The 22,173-nt window shown below is 48.1% G+C and overlaps 1 protein-coding gene across 29 annotated transcripts in view; it reads left to right on the forward strand.

The window, feature by feature from the left end:
- Nucleotides 1-22,173, forward strand: part of MAPT (microtubule associated protein tau) — a 133,781-nt gene that overhangs the window by 50,058 nt on the left and 61,550 nt on the right. For 28 of the 29 annotated variants that reach the window (NR_165166.1, XM_005257362.5, XM_005257365.5 and 25 more), the window contains exon 2: nt 17,710-17,859. Coding sequence is in view for 28 of the 29 variants with exons in the window: in XM_005257362.5 (XP_005257419.1) it covers nt 17,727-17,859 (133 nt within the window). In the remaining variant the exon portion in view is untranslated. Of the gene's footprint in view, nt 1-16,993; nt 17,147-17,709; nt 17,860-22,173 lie in introns of all 29 variants that reach the window. The other variant, NM_001377268.1, reaches the window with a different exon arrangement.

Here is a 22,173-nt window from a genome sequence, read left to right on the forward strand (position 1 = left end):
GGCCTCCCCAGCCCCTGCCATGAGGCCAAGGCAGTGCATCGTTCGCAGCGTACATTCAGAAACCAAAGCCTAGGAGCTGGTTATCATTCCGGTTTACAGCTGATGGAAGAGCAGGTGCTTCCGAGAACCCACAGTGCTCTTTGGCCAGTGACCCAAGGGTGCCTCTGAGAGGCCTCGCAGCACCCGGAGGTGCTGCTGAGGCAACGCCCTGACTGTAAGAAGGACCATTCATCCTCAGAGAGTGGCCGTGATGCTGCTGCGACAGTCCCACCATCCCTCCCGACTCTCACTCCCAACAGACTTCCCACTGTAAAGCTGAACTCTCCAGCAAATCACCTCTCGCCAGACTCTCTCCTCACTCTCTCTGGGTCCACTAGAGGTTCCTCAGCCTCTCTTTGCCTTGGTTTTCCCAGCTGTAAAATGGAGCAAAGAGGGCCTATGTACCCACAAAGGTGTGGTTGGAGCGACTCCTCCTACATTAGGGCCTCGAGTGGGGCTTCATGATTGGTTGGTGGAGGTCTCCAAACCCACCCAGTGCCACCGAAGGCTGAGACTGCAGATGCAATGCCACAGGTGTCCTTCCTCAGCCTGGGCAGCTGAACATCATGTGTAAAACGGGGATAATAAGATAATAACAGCCCCTTGCACCTATGTGGCTGTGAGGATTAAACAAGATAAATGTGTAACAGTGCCTGGCTATAGAAATATTTACTCTTGTTATTAAGGGAAGAATATGTGTGGCTAAAAAGGGATCGAAGATGTAAAAGCCAATCCCTCCCCCTCTAGCATATTTAAGGGTAATGTTGAGTTGGTTTGTGGACCATTTGCTGCCTGTTAGAGCTGGAAGGTAGGGACCCCCTCTCAACAGCGATGCTACAAATTATACCCATTGGAGGTCAACCAAAAGACAAAGCTTATTGGCTGGACATGGTGGCTCACACCTGTAATCCTAGCACTTTGGGAGGCCAAGGCAGGCGGATCACTTGAGATCAGGAGTTCGAGACCAGCCTGGCCAACATGGTGAAACCCCATCCCTACTAAAAATACAAAAATTAGCTGGGCGTGGTGGTGCACACCTGTAATCCCAGCTACTCAGGAGGCTGAGGCAGGAGAATCACTAGAACCCAGGAGGTGAAGGTTGCAGTGAGCCGAGATCGCACCACTGTACTCAAACCGAGGCAACAGAGGGAGACGCAATCTCAAAAAAAAAGAAAAAAAGACAAAGCTTGTTAATACCAGCATATTGTTAAGGGAATAAAGTAGGCTGCAGAACAACTGGTGTAATATGGTGCCATGTAGGGAAAATTACATGTGTGCATAGGAGAGGGGTCTGCAAGGTTGTGCCCTAAGATGTTAGAGTGGTTCCTTTGCTTTTCTCTTTTATAATTTTGTATTTGACTTTTAAATAAGGACCATAAATCACTTTTATAAAATACATTCTCTCCAGCCCCTACTACTCCTTTAAAGAATAAGAGTGGTTTGCCCAAGAAAGACAGTTTTTTTTGCTCTGGTTTTCTTGATTCTGACATCAGAGGAAACTGCTTCTCATCCACTTGGGGCTCTGGGTTCAGGGGATTCATTTCAGGCAGATTAAAGTGGTGACCAGGGGCATTCGTGGACACAGGGAGGGACAGGAGCACCATCAGTTTGTCTCACACAACCACTGTCATCCTCACTGAAGGCTGTTGCCTGATCAAAAACAGTATTGGGCCAGGCACGGTGGCTCACACCTGTAATACCACCACTTTGGGAGGCTGAGGTGAGTGGATCACTTGAGGTCAGGAGTTCGAGATCAACCTGGCCAACATGGTGAAACCTTGTCTCTACTAAAAGTTCAAAAATTAGCCAGGCGTGGTGGGTGCCTGTAGTCCCAGCTACTTGGGAGGCTGAGGCAGGAGAATTGCTTGAACCCGAGAGGTAGAGGTTGCAGTGAGCCGAGATGGCACCACCACACTCCAGCCTGGGCGACCGAGGGGGACTCTGTCTTAAAAAAAAAAAAAAAAAATATATATATATATATATATATATGTCAAAAATGGGGTAGTTTTTAGATCTATAGTAGTTCTAAAAACAAAGGCCATCCAAGCATGACAGATTTACAAGCACTATTGGCTATTCCAGTAGTTACAATGGAGGAGAGAAGCTTTTAGTTAAAACAAACAAACAACACAACAAACCCAGAAACCTTAGGTCAAAACCAAAATTGTCCTCTCAGACACAATCTGGGAATTTTCTCATGACAGTGGGCATTAGCCAACTGACATCAGCAGCAACCATCCGTGTGCACACAGTGGCACCACCTCCTCCCAAAAAGCAGCCTTCATCTATGCCCTCATACAATCGTTGATTATTCTCTTTGGATTGAGGCCCGGAATTATTTAAGTTTCTTCTTGCCAGCATGAGTCTTTCCTTTCTGTATGCTCCTTATCTTCTCTCTTTAATTTGGCAGTTCTGCTTGAAATCTGGGTCTTTCATTAGTAGTAGTTCAATTTGGTTCCAGAACATTCTGTGGTGTGATGCAATGTGACCAGAGCTCACACTTCAGAGCTCTTCAAGGGCCAGTCTTACTGAGCACCTCCCAGTGGCTGCCTGTGTGCTGGGCGCCACTTGTGGTGGGCAGGAGAGAGGAGGGGACACAAAAGGAGACACAGCTCCTTCTTAGAAGCTCAAAGTTGGGGACCAGCTGCCACAGAAGAGTATGTTTAGCATCTGAGACACCAAGATCCAGCGTCACAAGGGTGTTTATTAAGCCTCCTCATCTCTTTCTTTTTCTTTTTTTTTTTTTTTTTCCTCAGGCAGTCTTACTCTGTCACCCAGGCTGGAGTGCAGTGGCATGATCTCGGCTCACTGCATGCAACCACCACCTCCCGGGTTTAAGCAATTCTCCTGCCTCAGCCTCCCCAGTAGCTGGGATTACAGGTGCCCACCACCACACCCAGCTAATTTTTGTGTTTTTAGTAGAGACAGGGTTTCACCATGTTGGTCAGGCTGGTCTCGAACTCCTGACCTCAGATGATTCACCCACCTCGGCCTCCCAGTGTGCTGGGATTACAGGTGTGAGCCACCGCGCCTGGCCTTGCTGTTGATTCATCTATAGTATGTTTGACTTGATGACCTCCAGTTACCTTAGACAGAGGTTCTCATCTAAGCTCCAACTTTCCATTTCCTTTGTCCTCGTCTTTCCCCTTAACCCCTCCACATTTCTCTCAAAATCACCCCACTTCTAAAAAATACTGTTTATTTTTCTTTTAAATTTCAAATTATCTATACTCATTGAAATAAATCAAAATAGCATGGAATAAGCGAAAAAAATGGATCCCACCCTTCCCCACTCCCATTCCCTAGGGCTAACCATAGTTAACCATTTAATGACTAGGTTTTTTTGTTGTTGTTATTTTTTATTTATTTATTTTGAGACAGAGTCTTACTCTGTCACCCAGGCTGGAGTGCAGTGGTGTGATCTCGGCTCACTGCAACCTCTGCCTCCCAGGTTCAAGCATTCTCCTGCCTCTGCCTCCTGAGTAGCTGGGATTACAGGTGCCTGCCACCACACCTGGCTAATTTTTGTACTTTTGGTAGAGACAGGGTTTCTCAATGTTAGCCAGGCTGGTCTCGAACTCCTGGCCTCAAGTGATCTGCCCACCTTGGCCTTCCAAAATACTGGGATTAAGGTATGAGCCACCGCACCCAGCCCTCCTGGGCTCTTTTCCTTTAGTTGCACTCGCTCCCCGCTCCTGGAGTAGAGGGATTTCCGAGAGACTGTGGGCTCCAGCCTTCACCTAGGCCCAGGACTAGGATGCCTGCCCTAACATTTATCTTTATACCTTAAAGCAAAACAGCTGGACCATAAGCATTCAAGAACAAACTGTGAATAAGGAGAAAGTTCTCCCAGGAAACAAGAGCTTTAGTTCTGTTGGGCCAGCCCTTATATTCCTTAGCTGTTACCAGTCACTGCTTGATTTAATCTCGGCTATCACTTGGCCTGACAGGTCTGCTGCTGGTGCCAGGATGTCTGGGTTTTGAAGCCTGGCTCCATTACATACTTCCTGTGTGACCTTGGGCAACTTACTCAACCTGTCTGTTCCTCAGTTTCCCCAGCTGTATTATGTCAGCATAATAGTTTGTTGTGTGAATTAAATGAGGTAATAACTGGAAATGCTTCAAACATGGTTCCTATCATGAGAAATCCTGCTTTCCGCCTAAATGTGCTGGAAAATTCCTGGTGGTGCAGAACAGGAGACCAGAGCAAAGGAAAGACAGGGTGCAGAAGCCAAAAATTACCTTGGAGAACAAAGCGCATGTTAAGGTTATTTTTGGATTCTAGGTTTATCTCTGCTTGGTCTTCAGTTACCTGCAAGAGATCCATTTAGGGGATTTTTGTTTGTTTTTAACGATAGCTTTATTGAGATATAATTCATATGCCATAAAAGTCACTCTTTTAAAATGTTTCCGGTATATTCACAAGGCTGTGCAGCCTTCCCTGTCCTTGATTCCAGTCTGAGTTTTTAACTGAAGGGATAAGGAGGACCACGCTTTCCCCAGACCAGAACCGCGGGCCAGGGGGCGATTCTGCTGAGTCACCGCGGGCGCCTGGTGCGCGGCGGCGGAGCCCGGGACCTTCCTTGGCTGCCCCCTAGCGAGGGCCGCAGCGCAGCCTGAGACACCCGCCGGGGCCGCTCCACGGCCGTCGGATTTAGACTGGAAGCTCGGTCCAGGTCCCCAGCTTGATGCGCCCGCGGTGTAGGAGACCAGCCCGACTCGGGCTTCCCCTGAGCCCCTGGACTCTTGACTCCAGCAGGGCCTGGGTAATGAACGTCAGCTCCCCTTTCCCAAAGGGGTTGCTCTGTTGGGAAGGCACCCGTTTGATACAGTAGCATAGAGATGGGTTTTAGCATCAAAATATCAGAATTCAAGCCTTGCTCTCTGCTTACTAGCTGTGTGACCCTAAAAAGGTTTCTGAACGTCTCTGAGCTTCAGTTTCCTCATCATTCCTTCTCACGGGGTGGTTGTGAGCATTACAGAGATCCTCTCTGTGAAGCCCCTGTGAGTGGCTCATCCTGAGGGCTGAAATAAACATGTTATTAATAATCCAAAACTGGCAAGGGATGTTGACTGGTCCCCCTCCCTTGCCCAAGGAGCTTTCTAGAACCTGAGTTATCATTACCAAACTGTACTGCCTTGAGTAAGAAAGTTAGAAGGAATGGGAAGGATGGTGGCAGGTGGAGGAAGGCGGATTGGTCATCACCTCCTTGCAGCAAGAAACAGCCCCAGATCGTGGGAAACCTACAGACCTGCTAGACAGACTAGGAGCAAAAGCTGGGGCTTTAAGAATCCCCAGGGAGGTTCTCCTGAGAGAGTAGCCAGTTGGATTTTGTAAGCAGAGATTTGTTTGGGGAGGAGGTGACAACGTAGGGAGCAGAGGGGCAAAGCTGTCGGGAATCCTGCCTTGAGGGCAGGGATGTGTGTTGGGGGGAGTTGGGTCACTGGGGCTCGGTGGCCTTGGGCAAGTTTCTACCTCTCAGGTCCTTTACCCACCTAGGGTCGCCATCCTGCCCACCTCACAGGTTACAGTGAGCCTGGATGCACTGTCATGGGCAGGTGCCCAGGAAAATGGCAGACATGTTCCAAACAGCACGCAGCATTCCCCAGTGATGCCCAGGGTCACCTTGGAGGTGGGCGAGATGCCTGGGGTTTCTCGTCCACCCCACAACACCTCAGGGGACAGCCAAAGCTGTCCCTTCAGGTAAGCTGCACAGAAGATGTGAACTCTGCTGCAAAGACTCTATTCTTTGGGAGCAAAAGGGACCCAGGGTCTCACCTGCACATCCCTGTCCCTGAGGGCCTAGGGGTTCTTGGAGGCCCCAGCCTTGGCAAAATGAGGAAGAAGGTGAAGGTTGTCTGGGCCCCTGCCAGGCTCCTTCCTCGGCCACGCACTCCCCTTCCTGCACACACACCCTTCTCCCTCCACCCCATCTCCATTGTTGTCAGAAAAGTCACAATAAAAAGGTCCATATTGTCTAGTTCCCATACTTTTAATTTTTAAAATTTTATTTATTTATTTATTTATGTATTTTTTGAGACAGAGTCTTAACCCAGGCTGGAGTTCAGTGGCATGATCTAGGCTCACTGCAACCTCTCCCTCCTGGGTTCAAGTGATTCTCATGCCTCAGCCTCCCGAGTAGCTGAGATTACAGATATGTGCCACTATGCCCAGCTAATTTTTGTATTTTTAGTAGAGACGGGGTTTCACCATGTTGGCCAGGCTGGTCTCGAACTCCTGGCCTCAAGTGATCTGCCTGCCTGAGCCTCCGGAAGTGCTGGGATTTCAGGTGTGAGCCACCGCACTCGGCTCCACACTTTTCACTTATTAAAAGACTGTGGTGTCCATCAATGGATGAATGAATAAACCAATGTGGACTATCCCTCCCATTACCCAAGGAATGAAGCACGGAGCCGTGCCAAGATCTGGATTCACAGTGAAAGAAGCCAGTCACCAAAAGCCACGTGCTGTGTGACTTCCCTTATACGAAATATCCAGAAGAGATACATCCATGGTGACAGAAAGTAGATGAGCAGCTGGGGACTGGCGAAGGGGAGAAGGGGGAGCAGCTGTCTATGAGGTCCAGCCTTTCTTCTGGGTTTGGTGAGAATGTTTTGGAACTAGATAGAGGTGATAGTTGTACAACATTGTGAATGTACTAAATGCCACTGAATCATTCATTTTAAATCGTTCTTTACGTTGCATGAATTTTAAGTCAATCAAAAACAGTTGTTTGAAAAGAGAAAAGCCTATGGGTAGCGGCAGCAGTGATTGGATTTATGATTCGATTCCATGGCTCATCCCTCCCCTGCCTCACCCCCTCGCCCTCCGACGTCTTCTTCTTTTACTCTGAACTGTTATCTTTGTTCTCATCTCTCTCTCTCTCTCTCAACCCTGCAGACACTTTTCCCTTTCTTTGTCTGCCCCCACCCTCCAGATTTCCGTGTCTCCAGTGTCTCCCTACGAGGCATGAATTGAGACTGGGAGGGTGTGATTCTGAAGAAGGCACCAACAGTGACTCAGCTAGCCCCTTCCCCCACCCCGCCCCCCGGGCCTCAATTTAGCTAAAAAACCACAGGGACGGACTCAGGAGGCAATACCTTTCCAAGGGTCCCTAAAAAATGTCCCATTTTAGTGTCCAGGTTTCACTCAACTTTAGTGCCTCCCCTAAAATGTGTTCCTTACCTCCCACCCCACTGCATCTAAGTCACTGCCTGAGAAAACAGGATTGAGGAAAGGAGAAAGGAAGAGAGAGAGAGAGGAGGAGAGAGAGAGAGAGGGAGGAAGGCTGATGGATTTAGAAAAGAAGAAAACAAGTGGTCTGAGGAAAACAGCCTTGGTGTGTTTATTTTCCTGTCTGTGTATCGCTTCTCGGCCTTTTGGCTAAGATCAAGTGTATTTTCCTGTCTGTGTGTCTCGCTTAGATTACAGGGATCTGTGGGTGATGACACGTCTGGTCCAGGCTGCGTAGTCACCTCAAGGGCATGCTTATTGATGTGTTTTTCAATTCACTATCTTTGCATGGGAGTCCCAGGCCAAGAGGCACAGCTGCGCCATTTGTCTGTTGGTTTAGATATCCTTTATCCAGTTCTTCCAGAGAAATCATCCTGCCCTTCTGGAGGAGGTGGGCAGCAGGGGTCAGAGATGGGAGGGAAAGGAAGGAGCCAGGTCCTTGGCTAGGATGCCAGGGTCCCCTGCCTCTCACCTGGCCTGGGCTGGAGGCCTCCTGCTGTCCTGTCACTGATCACTACCCCGCCCCAGCCTCCTGAGTTAGAAGACACAGGCTAAAGTAGAGTATTTCTTCATTGAAAAACCCATACAAAATAAAGGTTCATAAAAAATAAAAATTTAGACTGGGTGCTGTGGCTCACACCTGTGATCCCAGCACTTTGGGAGGCCAAGGCAGGTGGATCGCTTGAGCCCTGGGGTTCATGACCAGCCTGGGCAACATAGTGAAACCCCATCTCTACAAAAAATACAAAAAATTAGCCAGGCATGGTGGTGCATACCTGTGGTCCCAGCTTCTCAGCCTATGGACCCACATAGAATACAATGTCAGCATAAGAAGGGAGCCCTGGGGTCACCAAATGGTTTGGGCGGCAAAGAACCTGAAGGTTGAGAGAAGTGGCTTGGTTACCCAGCTGTTGGATGTGAGACCTGGCCACTGCTTCTTCCATACCCTAGACCTGCACCCTGACATCTCAAGTAAAAAGTTGGGGGATGTTTTATGGTCCAGGATGAAGGAAGGGCAGTGAGGGGCAGCGGAGCATCACTTTGCATTTCTGTCTGCCTCTTACTGGCTGTGTGACCTGGGGCAGGTAACTTCCCAGACTCCTGGGAATCATAACACCTATGATGATGATGATGATGATGATGATGATGACACCTACCTCAAGGATTGCCCTGAAGGGTCACAGAGATGCCTGCAAGGCACCTGCATGGAGCAAGCGCCCCTTCTCTGGCAGGTGCTGGGTGAGCACTACCTGCTGCCAGGCCCTGGGGCTATGGCACTGCGTGACCCTGCAAGTCCTACCTGGCGAAGCTGTCGTTCTTGTGCTCAGTCAGTGTTGGTTGTAAGACTGAGAAGAGTCACTTCATTTTGCTCTCCAGGGACATCTTTCTGGGTCCTATTTTCTGCCTATGTCAAGTAGCGCCTCAAGGATGCTCCTGAAAATGGGCTTGTCTTTCTTAACATGGCAGGTAGGTCCCAAAGCATTAGCATGGGGCAGCTGACCTAGCCCAGCCAATGCAGTGCAGTGACTCTTGCAACCGAGTCTAATCAGAAGGTCCATGAACCTACGAGCATTTCCTGTCCCAGGATCAGGGTGGAGGCTGAGCCTCCCTGCTTAGAGATTCTTCCCATGCATTCCACTTTTTTCCCCAAAAGAAAATATTGACCCTTGAGAGGCACACAGTTTATTTATTTTGCATAGTAAATAGTAGCCTGTATTTTAAGGATGAGTTGATTTCTGCATCAGCCCCTGTAGGTCATCAGCCTTCTATTGGTGCATCTGACTCTCTCTAGCCCTGCAGGGATGGTGGAGGGGGAGGGGAAGGAGGGATCTTTATTGGAAACCAGGACAGTGAGACTCATTGCCCTGTCATCTGCTCTGTGGTGCTGAATGAGGCAGCCCAACAGAGAAATACCCTGAGCGAGCATCCCCAGCCTCCAAAACAGTGGCGCATTGCCCTGAGTCCTGGGAATGACCTTTGATTCTCCTGCTCCTGACTTGGAACCCATGGAAACCTCTAGAAGCAGCTGAGGAAAACCCAACATGAAAAGCAGAACTCCACACTGAGAATATAGGAGGTGATCGGAACATACAATGATTCTTGCTAAGACCGATTCACAGTTTTTCTTTTTTTTCGATCGAAGAAATACTGGAGAAGCCTAAAGAAGGAGTCTAAAAACTCTGGCACGTGGGCCAAAACTGTCCTTGAGCTAAGAATGATTTTCACATTTTTAAGTGGTTGAAAAATGAAATAAAATAAGATGATGTTTTGTGACACATGAAAGCTATGGGAAATTCAAATTCTAATATCTATAAATAGTGTTTTATCAGAACACAGTCATGCTCATTTATTTATGCTCGATGGCTGCTTTCCCGCTACAATTACGTTGAGCAGTTACAACAGAGACCACGTGGCCCACAAAGCCTTACAATATTTACTATCTGGCCCTTTCCAGAAAAAAATGTGCCGACTCTTGACCTTAACCTCAGCAATTTGGGAGGCCGAGGCAGGCGGATCGCTTGAGCTCTGGAGTTCATGACCAGCCTGGGCAACATAGTAAGACTCCATCTCTACAAAAAATACAAAACATTAGCCAGGCATGGTGGTGCACACCTGTGGTCCTAGCCACTCGGGAGACTGAGGTGGGAGGATCGCCTGAGCCCAGGAAGTCGAGGCTGCAGTGAGCTGTGATGGCACCACTGCACCTCAGCCTGGGCGACAGAGCAAGACCTTGTCTCCAAATAAATAAATAATGCAAAGTAAAATAAATAAAACCATATAAAAAGGAATCAATTTAAAATTATAATGAAAGCTGGCCGGGCATGGTGGCTCACGCCTGTAATCCCAGCACTTTGGGAGGCTGAGGTGGGTGGATCACGAGGCCAGGAGATCGAGACCATCTTGGCTAACACGGTGAAACCCCGTCTCTACTAAAAATACAAAAAAAAAATTAGCCGGGCACAGTGGCGGGCGCCTGTAGTCCCAGCTACTCGGGAGGCTGAGGCAGGAGAATGTCTTGAACCCGGGAGGTGGAGCTTGCAGTGAGCCGAGATCGTGCCACTTGCAGTCCAGCCTGGGCGAAAGAGCGAGACTCCGTCTCAAAAACAAAAACAAAAACAAAAACAAAAAAAAATTATAATGAAAGCCAAGGGGCATAGTAGAACAAATTTTCTAGAGCTCATTAAGTCAAATGAGTCACCAGTTAGTAAAACGCAGTCACGGGGAAGAGAGGGCAGGATTCTTTGAAGCAGCGGCTCTCCTAAAAACAACCCACCCTTGTCCAGCTGCCTTCCCTCCTGAGGGTGTTCCCTTTGACTGTGTGACCCCCATCCCCTATTTCCCAACCGTCCAAGCCCACCTCTAGCATAATACGAGCTTTTAATCCCTCTCCCTGACCCCAACCCGATTTTGAAGCCCAGTCTAGTATTTTCTCAAATACACTTCTTGGCTCCATTCCTTCCTTTCCATCACCTCTGCCTTTTCACTGCATGCTTGGACCACTGCAGTCAGCTCCCTATGAACAGTTGCTCTCTACCCATCCAATCGGCCCCGCCTGCTGCTGCCAAATTCACCGAGGGCACCTCTGTGGTGCTGCCTGTGGACAAAGTCCAAGCCAGCCACCTCACCCACCTACAGGTGAGTGGGGAGCAGCCAGCGTGTCCAGTGGTTTACCCCATCGCCACAGACTTGGTGATGTGTCGATGTGCAGAGAAGGGGTGTTGGCAGCCACAACACAAGCAACCCCGCCCCATGTGAGATCTAAGATGGGCGTGCTGGGAGCCACCTCTGAGAATCCAACAGAAGGCAGAGGGGAGAACGGCTCACACGGCACAAACACTCCTTCCTTTTTTTTTTTTCTTTTTCCTTTTTGAAAGGAGTCTCACTCTATTGCCCAGGCAGGAGTGCAGTGGTGCAATCTCAGCTCACTGCAACCTCCGCCTCCTAGGTTCAAGCGATTCTCCAGCCTCAGCTTCCCAAGTAGCTGGGATTACAGGTACACTCCACCATGCCCGGCTAATTTTTGTGTTTTTAGTAGAGACGGGGTTTCCCTATGTTGGCCAGGCTGGTCTTGAGCTCCTGACCTCAGGTGATCTGCCTGCCTTGGCCTCCCAAAGTGCTGGGATTACAGGTGTGAGCCATGGGGCCTAGCCTCCTTCCATTTAAATGTATGCCTAATTTGCCCATTGAGAACGGCTGAGACGCATTTTAAGTGGCCAGGGTCTACTTAGAGTTAGTGCTCATGACCAGGCCCAGGTCAAGCCTGGCTGGCCAGATGGTGCCTTTGACCTGCTCTGTCTCTGTGCAAAGGAATGAGCTGAAGGATGGGGGTGCAGTGTGTGGGCAGTGGGCTGGGGCTGGCAGGACTCAGTGACTAAGGGAAGAGAACTTTCCTCACTACCAGCCTGTCTTTTCAGGGCACCGCGGGGGGCTTTGGGACTTGGTGATGAACACAGCACAGAGAGCTGTCCAGCATGCGGGTCCCTGGCTTCTCACACTTCCCAGGCTCCTTCAGAGGCTCTCTCCAAAGGGAGCTGCTCTCTCTAGAACCCATGAATTTGGAATATAGGCAACCACTGCATTGGGGACCACTGACCTCAAACATAGAGACCAGAGCAAATGGGGCTCATCACGTGAAACTCATCTGGAACTCTAGCAGGTTCTTTTATATATATATATATATATATATATATATATATATATATATATATATATATATTTTTTATTATTATACTTTAAGTTCTAGGGTACATGTGCACAACATGCAGGTTTGTTACATATGTATACATGTGCCATGTTGGTGTGCTGCACCCATTAATTCATCATTTACATTAGGTATATCTCCTAATGCTATCCCTCCCCACTCCCCCCACCCCACAACAGGCCCCAGTGTGTGATGTTCCCCTTCCTGTGTCCAAGTGTTCTCATTGTTCAATTCCCACCTACGAGTGAGAACATGCTGTGTTTGGTTTTTTTGTCCTTGCGATAGTTTGCTGAGAATGATGGTTTCCAGCTTCATCCATGTCCCTACAAAGGACATGAACTCATCATTTTTTATGGCTGCATAGTATTCCATGGTGTATATGTGCCACATTTTCTTAATCCAGTCTATCATTGTTGGACATTTGGGTTGGTTCCAAGTCTTTGCTATTGTGAATAGTGCCGCAATAAACATACGTGTGCATGTGTCTTTATAACAGCATGATTTATATTCCTTTGGTTATATACCCAGTAATGAGATGGCTGGGTCAAATGGTATTTCTAGTTCTAGATCCCTGAGGAATCGCCACACTGTCTTCCACAATGGTTGAACTAGTTTACAGTCCTACCAACAGTGTAAAAGTGTTCCTATTTCTCCACATCCTCTCCAGCAGCTGTTGTTTCCTGACTTTTTAATGATCGCCATTCTAACTGGTGTGAGATGTTATCTCATGGTGGTTTTGATTTGCATTTCTCTGATGGCCAGTGATGATGAGCATTTTTTCACGTGTCTGTTGGCGAACTCTAGCAGCTTCTTTTCACAAGTTCATGGAGAGAGGTTTCCCACTGAGGGAATCACATCTGTCTGATCAAAAGAGGCTTGGGAAATGGCTCTCCTGTTCATTCCCTGAAAACCTCTGATGGAACCACTGCCACTGTGGCAGCCCCAGCACTGGCACCCCAGCCATGATTGGTGCCCCAGCCACATCTCTGCTGTGAGCCCCAGAGCCCTGGTTAATTAATCATCCACGTGTTGATGGGGAGAGGCCCATTCACAAAAGCGACATAAAGCCCAGGGAGACGTGGCCGTGGCAAGAAGGGTGTGGGACTACATTCCGCCCCCAACTGAGAGATTCAGAAACCAGAAAAAAATGGAAAAACATACTGTGCTCTTGGGTGGGAAAACTAAATATCATGAAGGGAGCAATTTTTATAGTTTTGGCCTATAATACAATTCCAGCCGAAATCCCAGTGGAACTTTGAGAATTTGCAGGAAAAAAAAAAATGTCTAAAGTACATCTGGAAGACAAACTTACAAGAAGGTCAAATAATTTTGAAAAAGAAAATGATATCTAAGCCCACCTAGAGAATAAGACTTGAGATCCAAAGCTAAATCAGGAGGCTCTAGCAAAATTGACAGATAAGCAGGACAGAGTGCATGGTGCATTCACCTGGGGAAGAGGGCAGATTGGTCTACAAATAGGCCTGGGTCCACTGACTTTAGCTGTTATATTTGGGGAGAAACTTTTCAACCTCACTCCATCTTAAACCTAAAAATATTCCAGATGAATTAATAAATATAAAAAATTAGACCACTAAAAATGTAGAAGAAAATGGATGATCTTTCTATACCATAGAGCAATGGAATAAATCACAAAGGAAAACAGATTTGACTATATAAAACTTAAACCCTGCCCATCAAAAACCATCAGAAACCAAAATAAAAGGCAACCAACTGGAGAAGATAGTTGCCACAAATATGATCAAGGGTTAATGTTATTCATAAATTAAGAGCCCACACAAGTCATTAGAATAAGCACTGAGACCTGAACAGACAAGCAAAAAGAATGAGAGTGGGTCGGCGCGGCGGCTCATGCCTGTAATCCCAGCACTTTGGAAGGCTGAAGCAGGCGGATCACTTGATCCCAGGAGTTCCAACACCAGCCTGAGCAACATGGTGAAACCCTGCCTCTACAAAAGTCATAAATATTAGCCGGGTGTGATGGCACACGCCTGTAGTCCCAGCTACTCAGGAGGCTGAGGTGGGTGGATCACTTGAGCCCGGGAGGTAGAGTCTGCAGTGAGCCAAGATCACACCGCTGCACTCCAGCTGGAGCAACAGAGTGAGACCCTGACTTAAAAGAAAAAAAAAAAAAAAGAGGAGAAAAATGCTGATCTCACTAGTAATTAAAACATCAGGCCAGGCGCAGTGGCTCACACCTTTAATCCCAGCACTCTGGGAGGCTGAGGCAGGCAGATCACTTGAGATCAGGAGTTCTAGACCAGCTTGGCCAACATGGTGAAATCCCGTCTCTACAAAAAATACAAAAATTCGCCAAGCGTGGTGGCACATGCCTGTGATCCCAGCTACTCGGGAGGCTGAGACAGGAGAATTGCTTGAACACGGGAGGCAGAGGTTGCAGTAAGCTGAGATCGTACCATTCCAGTCCAGCCTGGGCTACAGAGCGAGACTCTGTCCCAGAAAAAATTAAAACATCACATATTTAAACAACTCTAGGATATCATTTAAAAAAACATTAATAGACTGTTTTTTAGAGCACTTTTAGGTTCACAGTGAAACTGAGTGGAAGGTACAGAGACTTCCCGTATGTTCCCTGCCCTCCACGTACAGCCTCCCCCACTGCCAACGTCCTGCACCAGAGTGGTACACTTGTTACAACCAATGAATCCTCATTAACATATCATTATCACCCAAGTTCATAGTTTACATTAGTAAAACATCATCTTTCATCTATAAGCACAAAAATTTTTTGGCATTTATTTAGGTGTATGATTAACTCAGTGTTGACAAGACTCACACTTCATACCCACTTGCACTGCATCTGAGAAGCAATTGGTGTCTACAGCCGCTACACCCTCAACAAGCCCGATCTTGTTTGAAAAGCAATTGGTGATGCTTCTCAAAATTCTATGGACAAAGTCAGCCGGGCATGGTGGCTCATGCCTGTAATCCCTAAACTTTGGGAGGCCGAGGCAGGCAGATCACCTGAGGTCTGGTGAAACCCTGTCTCTACTAAAAATGCAAAAATTACCCAGGCATGGTGGCTGGGGCCTGTAATCCCAGCTACTCGGGAGGCTGAGGCAGGAGAATCGCTTGAAGCAAGGAGGCGGAGGTTTCAGTGAGCCAAGATTGCACCACTGCACTCCAGCCTGGGTGACAAGAGTGAAACTCCATCTAAAAAAAAAAAATTATGGACAAAGTTTTTCAAAAAGATATTTAATGCAACTTTATTTGTAATATTGGAACATCTGAGGCCATTTCAGTGCTAACTATTAGGGGATGGTTAGGAAAATATGGTACATATGTGGAAAGGAACATTTGGTAGTTAGTGCCCCTGATGTTTACAAAGGCTTTTAGTGACCAACAAATGCTCATGCTATAATCTTATGTGAAAAAAGCAAGTAGCATAATTGCAACTATATTTTTAATGCATAGAATAAAAGGCTAGAAGGAAATATCACAGATCCTTGACATACATTCCCAAACCTTTGTAAATCCGCGGATTCATGAAAACAGACACATTTGCACAAGTGCCTGATCTTTTCTGTTATACATTCATTAGAAGTCAAGCCCTGGTGCCACAAAGTATCTGCCTTTTCAAATGTGATCAGAATGTTCTCTTTTGCTTCAAGGCCATTTTTCACGAAGCAGTGGCATTTTTGCCTCTTCATCAGAGTCACCGTGTGCCCTGGAGGACTGAGAACAGCAGAGCCGTTTTAGGATGGGACAGGGCAGCCAGGAGGATTGGGCTCACTCCCTACTGAGTGCCTCACTCCCGTACAGCCCCCATAGAGGAAGAGGGGTTCAAATTTATTCCTCAGCCAGATGGCATGTGCCGCCTGTCCTGGAATTTCACATCACTTATGATGGACCAAAATTCCAAAAGCTGAATCCATGATTGTCAAAGTCTGGTATGGCAGGATGTCAACAGTAATCGTTTCTGGGCAGAGGGATGATTTTCTCTTCCCATCTTGCTTTGTATAAATACATTTTCTATAATAAGGTTGTATTACTTTTCTCATCAAGAAATAGCAAAGTACTGTTTTACTCAAAATATGAATAGAGCCAGGCATGGTGGCAGCTTATGCCTGTAATCCCAACACTTTGAGAGGCGGATATGGGAGGATCACTTTAGCCCAGGAGTTTGAGACCAGCCTGGGCAACATAGTGAGACCCCCGTCCCCACTCCCCCAAAGAAAACCCACAAAGCATTTATCCTGGATTATTCACAGGGGCCAAAAAAAAAAAAAAAAATTCAGGCCTCCTATAGCCATGAGCTACGAATATGAAAATATGCAAATGTGTAAGAAAAGCCAGCACATCCGATTTTTACTTTTACTTTCACACCTCTGTCCACCATGTTCCAAGAGAAGAAACTTGGTCATTGAAAGGAATAGATCAAATCCAAAGAACAAAACCACTGTGCTCATTAAACTTCTTAGTGTTCACAAAGCTTTAGCTGCAGGTTGAATGGGGCAACCCGAATTGGCTGGCTCACCTGGGCTGCAGGGAGCAGAGATCGCGACACTGCACTCCAGCCTGGGCAACAAAGCGAGACTCTATCTCAAAAAAAAAAAAGTTCATAAATTCAAAGTTATGAATTATTTTTAAAATAATAATAATTTACAATAAAGATGAGGACAAAGTGTGAGTAAATGGTGGTTTCTATCCAGCTCTGTTGAGCTGAAGTGGCATCTCCCTGCTGGGGCTTTTGGGGAAGAAGGGTGTGTGTTGCTCTTCAGATCCCAAGCCTCATGCCCCTACTGGGCCCTGTGGGGTGCTTCTCAGCCCACCAGGAGAGCCACCGTTGGAACACACACGTGGGGGACCTGGTGGGTGCCGGTGTGGTGAATGGGGGCCACAGCCTGACTCCAGGAAGCCAGCAAACTCGGAGCTGGAGGAGTCAGGACACCCCCGATGAGTCAAGAGTTGGTTTTGCTGCCAGTTGACATCTGATTGAACCATCTCTTCACTTCTCCGTGCCTCACTTTCCTTACCAGACAGGCTCTGCTGATGCTGTCCCTCTCCTGTTCAGTCGTGCCCTCACCGTTAAAGAGAAAGAGCAAACTGCTGGGCAGCAGCATTGATTTTTTTAATGAAGTGGAAAGAGAGCTGGGAATAACAAGTCGGGCCCACCTCACCTGCCTCACCTGGTGGGTTTATTTGTTTTGTTTTTTTTTTTTTGTTTTGAGACAGAGTTTCACCCTGTCACCCAGGCTGGAGTGCAGTGGTGTAATCTCAGCTCACTGCAACCTCCACCTGCCAGGTTCAATTGATTCTCCTGCCTCAGCCTCCCCAGTAGCTGGGATTACAGGCACCTGCCACATGCCTGGCTAATTATTGTATTTTTAGTAGAGATGGGGTTTTACCATGTTGGCCAGGCTGGTCTCGATCCCCTGACCTCAGGTGATCCACCCACCTCGGCCTCCCAAAGTGCTGAGATCACAGGCGTGAGCCACCATGCCTGGCCGTCACCTGGTGGTGTTGAATATGAACTGCTGCGGTGTTGGTAAATTAAGCAAGCAGATAGATGTAAATAACGCTTGGGCAGGAATATGGAGCACGGGATGAGGATGGGCGGCCAACTGTTAGAGAGGGTAGCAGGGAGGCTGAGATCTGCCTGCCATGAACTGGGAGGAGAGGCTCCTCTCTCTCTTCACCCCCACTCTGCCCCCCAACACTCCTCAGAACTTATCCTCTCCTCTTCTTTCCCCAGGTGAACTTTGAACCAGGATGGCTGAGCCCCGCCAGGAGTTCGAAGTGATGGAAGATCACGCTGGGACGTACGGGTTGGGGGACAGGAAAGATCAGGGGGGCTACACCATGCACCAAGACCAAGAGGGTGACACGGACGCTGGCCTGAAAGGTTAGTGGACAGCCATGCACAGCAGGCCCAGATCACTGCAAGCCAAGGGGTGGCGGGAACAGTTTGCATCCAGAATTGCAAAGAAATTTTAAATACATTATTGTCTTAGACTGTCAGTAAAGTAAAGCCTCATTAATTTGAGTGGGCCAAGATAACTCAAGCAGTGAGATAATGGCCAGACACGGTGGCTCACGCCTGTAATCCCAGCACTTTGGAAGGCCCAGGCAGGAGGATCCCTTGAGGCCAGGAATTTGAGACCGGCCTGGGCAACATAGCAAGACCCCGTCTCTAAAATAATTTAAAAATTAGCCAGGTGTTGTGGTGCATGTCTATAGTCCTAGCTACTCAGGATGCTGAGGCAGAAGGATCACTTGAGCCCAGGAGTTCAAGGTTGCAGTAAGCTGTGATTATAAAACTGCACTCCAGCCTGAGCAACAGAGCAAGACCCTGTCAAAAAAAAAAGAAAAGAAAAAAGAAAGAAAGAAATTTACCTTGAGTTACCCACATGAGTGAATGTAGGGACAGAGATTTTAGGGCCTTAACAATCTCTCAAATACAGGGTACTTTTTGAGGCATTAGCCACACCTGTTAGCTTATAAATCAGTGGTATTGATTAGCATGTAAAATATGTGACTTTAAACATTGCTTTTTATCTCTTACTTAGATCAGGCCTGAGTGGCCTCTCTTTAGCAAGAGTTGGTTAGCCCTGGGATTCTTACTGTAGCCACATTAATAAACAACATCGACTTCTAAACATTCTATAATACCATCTTTTGGCCAAATTGACTTCGCCTCTTCCTCTCTCTTTCCAAATGAAATGTGTTTCATTTCACTGTCAGACCACATGGTTGGGGACCCCACAGAGCACACAGCCCTCCCTCTGCCTTCCCATGCTGGCCCTTCACCCACTGCTGGAGTGCCAGGTTGGTCCAAGGGTTGGACCAAGTTGTCTGAGGTTGTCTCAAGGTTGGTCGAGGCTGTCTCCGCGCTGGGTTGTGCTACAAGGAGCCCTTCTTTCCATGGGTGTGGCTGGCAGTGAGTGCTCACAGCAACAGCCCACAGTGCAGCCCGAGGGCAGGATGGACTCAGTCCCTGCCTCCATACCCATTTCTAAGGAGGCAAAATGGCAAACACTCTACTTTTCTCTTTTAATGCTAAAAATAAGAAAACACCTTGCAGCCCAGGGTATGGGTAGTGCATGGAAGCCGTGGAGTTGTGAGGTGGGAAGTGACCTCTGCTGGATATGTCTATTCAGGAAGATTGCTGGAGTGGGTGGGGTCTCTGGGAGGTCCCCTGAGTGTGGGAAGCTGGGACCACCAGCTTTCTCGCACAGGGAGTGGCCATCCCAGCTTGGAGAGGTTCCAGGACTGGTTGGGAGGCACGTTTCAGATTTCTATCTGTTGAATCAGCGAAGATATTGGATTATGAGGAATTTGGGAATTAGGAAAGTGGGTGCAGGTGGGTTGGGGGTAGGTGAAGGAAGACATGGGCGTATTGGGGGAGCAGGGGCTGCTCAGAGGTGTTCCAGAAGCTCTGGGTGAGGAGGTGAGAGGGACCGGGGAATGCAGCTCGGCCCAGCCTCCCTGCCTGAGGTCAGCCATCACGTGGTGATGGCAAGATGGAAATGTGCTTTCTGACTGCTCCAGCCAGTGCTGCCAGATTCAGCTCCCCAGGGAGGGCACCTGAGAGGCTCCAAGCCAGGAGATCTGTTTTCTCCTTTGTTTTGTTTTTTTTTGTTTTGTTTTGTTTTATTATACTTTAAGTTCTAGGGTACATGTGCACAACGTGCAGGTTTGTTACATATGTATACATGTGCCATGTTGGTGTGCTGCACCCATCAACTTGTCATTTACATTAGGTATATCTCCTAATGCTATCCCTCCCCCCTCCCCCCACCCCCTGTTTTCTCCTTTGAATCCTTCTTAGAGGCCGGGCGCGGTGGCTCACGCCTGTAATCCCAGCACTTTGGGAGGCTGCGGCAGGAGGATTGCTTGAGCCCAGGAGTTCCAGACCAGCCTGGGCAACATAGTGAGACCTCGTCTCTACAGATAATAATTTTAAAAATTATCCGGGCATAGTGGCATGCACCTATAGTCCCAGCTACTCAAGAGGCAGAGGCAGGAGGATCACTTGAGCCCAGGAGGCGGAGGTTGCCGTGAGCCAAGATCCCACCACTGCACTCCAGCCTGGGCGACAGAGACCCCCATGTCAAATAATAATAATAATAAATAAATCCTTCTCAGTCCCTTCCTCACTGTGTCCCCCTCCACTGAATTTTTCCACCTCCTCTCCCACTTCCCCCACTCCCGCTTTCCCTCTCCTTCTCTCCCCACTCCATCTTTTTCTTTCTCTGCTGTTTCTCGTCCCTCCCTCCTCTCCATCCCACAACACTGCCTACCCTGTCCCTGCCCCACCCTGGTGCTCAGGATGTGTGAAGTGAGGGGTGGTAGCCCCCAAGACCTCAACCCCGAAGGTTAGCCTGTTGAAACCACTTTCTCCCAGCTGCCCCCCTGGCAGTTGGTGCTGCTGGGGGAAACTGGGATTGGGGGCCAGATTTTGCCTCTTTTCCTGACAAAGAGAGATGAAGAGTTCTCTCACCAGGTGCCTGGGACTGGGGTGTGGGTGTCCCAGCCTATCCCAGCGCATCTGTTCTGCATCATGATTAATAGTGCTGCTTTCAGCCGGGCGCGGTGGCTCACACCTGTAATCCCAGCACTTTGGGAGGCTAAGGTGGGCAGATCACAAGGTCAGGAGTTCGAGACCAGCCTGGCCAACATGGTGAAACCTCGTCTCTACTAAAAATACAAAAATTAACCAGGTGTGGTGGTGGGTGCCTGTAGTCCCAGCTACTTGGGAGGCTGAGGCAGGAGAATCACTTGAATCTGGGAAGCAGAGGTTGCAGTGAGCCAAGATCGTGCCACTGCACTCCAGCCTGGGTGACAGAGTGAGACTCCGTCCTAAAAAAAAAGGAGTTTTGCTCTGTCGCCCAGGCTGGAGTGTAGTGGCGCCATCTCGGCTCACCGCAACCTGCGCCTCCCGGGTGCAAGCGATTCTCCTGCCTCAGCCTCCCAAGTAGCTAGGATTACAGGCGCCTACCACCACGCCTGGCCAGTTCTTGTATTTTTAGAAGAGACGGGGTTTCACCCTGTTGGCCAGGCTCGTCTGGGACTCCTGACCTCAGGTAATCCGCCCACCTCAGCCTCCCAAAGTGCTGGGATTGCAGGCATGAGCCACCGTGCCCAGTCAACTCCTTCTCAAAAAAAAAAAAATAGTGCTGCTTTCTCTTTCAAGTGTCCTGATTTGGGTGATAGTAAATGCCACTCTACTTATAAGGGATCTACCTCAGAATGCTAATTGGGACATTTTTGTAGCACTCTACTGTTGGCAGCAGGTGATGCTCACAACAGCCCGTGAGGGTGGATGACGTCCGCTTCACAGATGACAAAGGAGCCTCATGCTCAGACCGTGGGCTGCCAGAGCAGGTCCATGGCTGCAGCCCCACATGGACCATATTTCCCCCTTGTCACTCTTTCCACCAAGCTCCCTTGGAACTTCAGTTATTAAGCTCTCTTGGGTGGAATCCAAGTTAGAATCACAACATGTGCCTCATATGGATTGTGCCAGTGAAAAATGACATTCTATTTAGAGGCAGGGCAGCCTGGCTTAGAGTCAGTTTAAAATATGTATTATGCTGCAACAAATGTACCATGATCCTGTAAGATGTTCACAACAAGGGAACTGGATGTGGGGTATACTGTCTGTACTAACTTCACAAGTTTTCTGTAAATCTAAAACTGTTCCAAAATAACAAGTTCGTTTAAAATTAACTCCAGGAGACCAGGTACGGTAGCTAATGCCTATAATCCCAGCACTTCGGAAGGCTGAGGCAGGTGGATTGCTTGAGCCCAGGAGTTTGAGACAAGCCTGGGCAACATGGTGAAATCCTGTCTCTAAAAAAAATCACAAAAATTAGCCAGGTGTGGTGGCGCATTCCTGTAGTCCCAGCTACTTGCGGGGCTGAGGTGGGAGAATCATCTGAGCCCAGGAGTTTGAGGCTGCAGTGAGCTGTGATTGTACCACTGCACTCCAACCTGGGCAACAGAGCAAGACCCTGTCTCAAAAAACAAAAATGAAATAAAGTCCAGGAAAGAAGTAGGTTTTACCACTCTTATTTTCTGAAGAGAAAACTAAATTTAATGTGTAAAGTGAGGACAAGTTCACCAAGTTAGTGTTTGAGTTGCCTAAAATATGTTTGCTAAAACTATTCAAAGCTTTCACATAAAACATGATCAGAAGTTCTATGCCAAAACATAT

The sequence above is a fragment of the Homo sapiens genome, chromosome 17 (assembly GCF_000001405.40).
Source record: "Homo sapiens chromosome 17, GRCh38.p14 Primary Assembly".
In the NCBI taxonomy this organism is placed as follows: domain Eukaryota; kingdom Metazoa; phylum Chordata; class Mammalia; order Primates; family Hominidae; genus Homo; species Homo sapiens.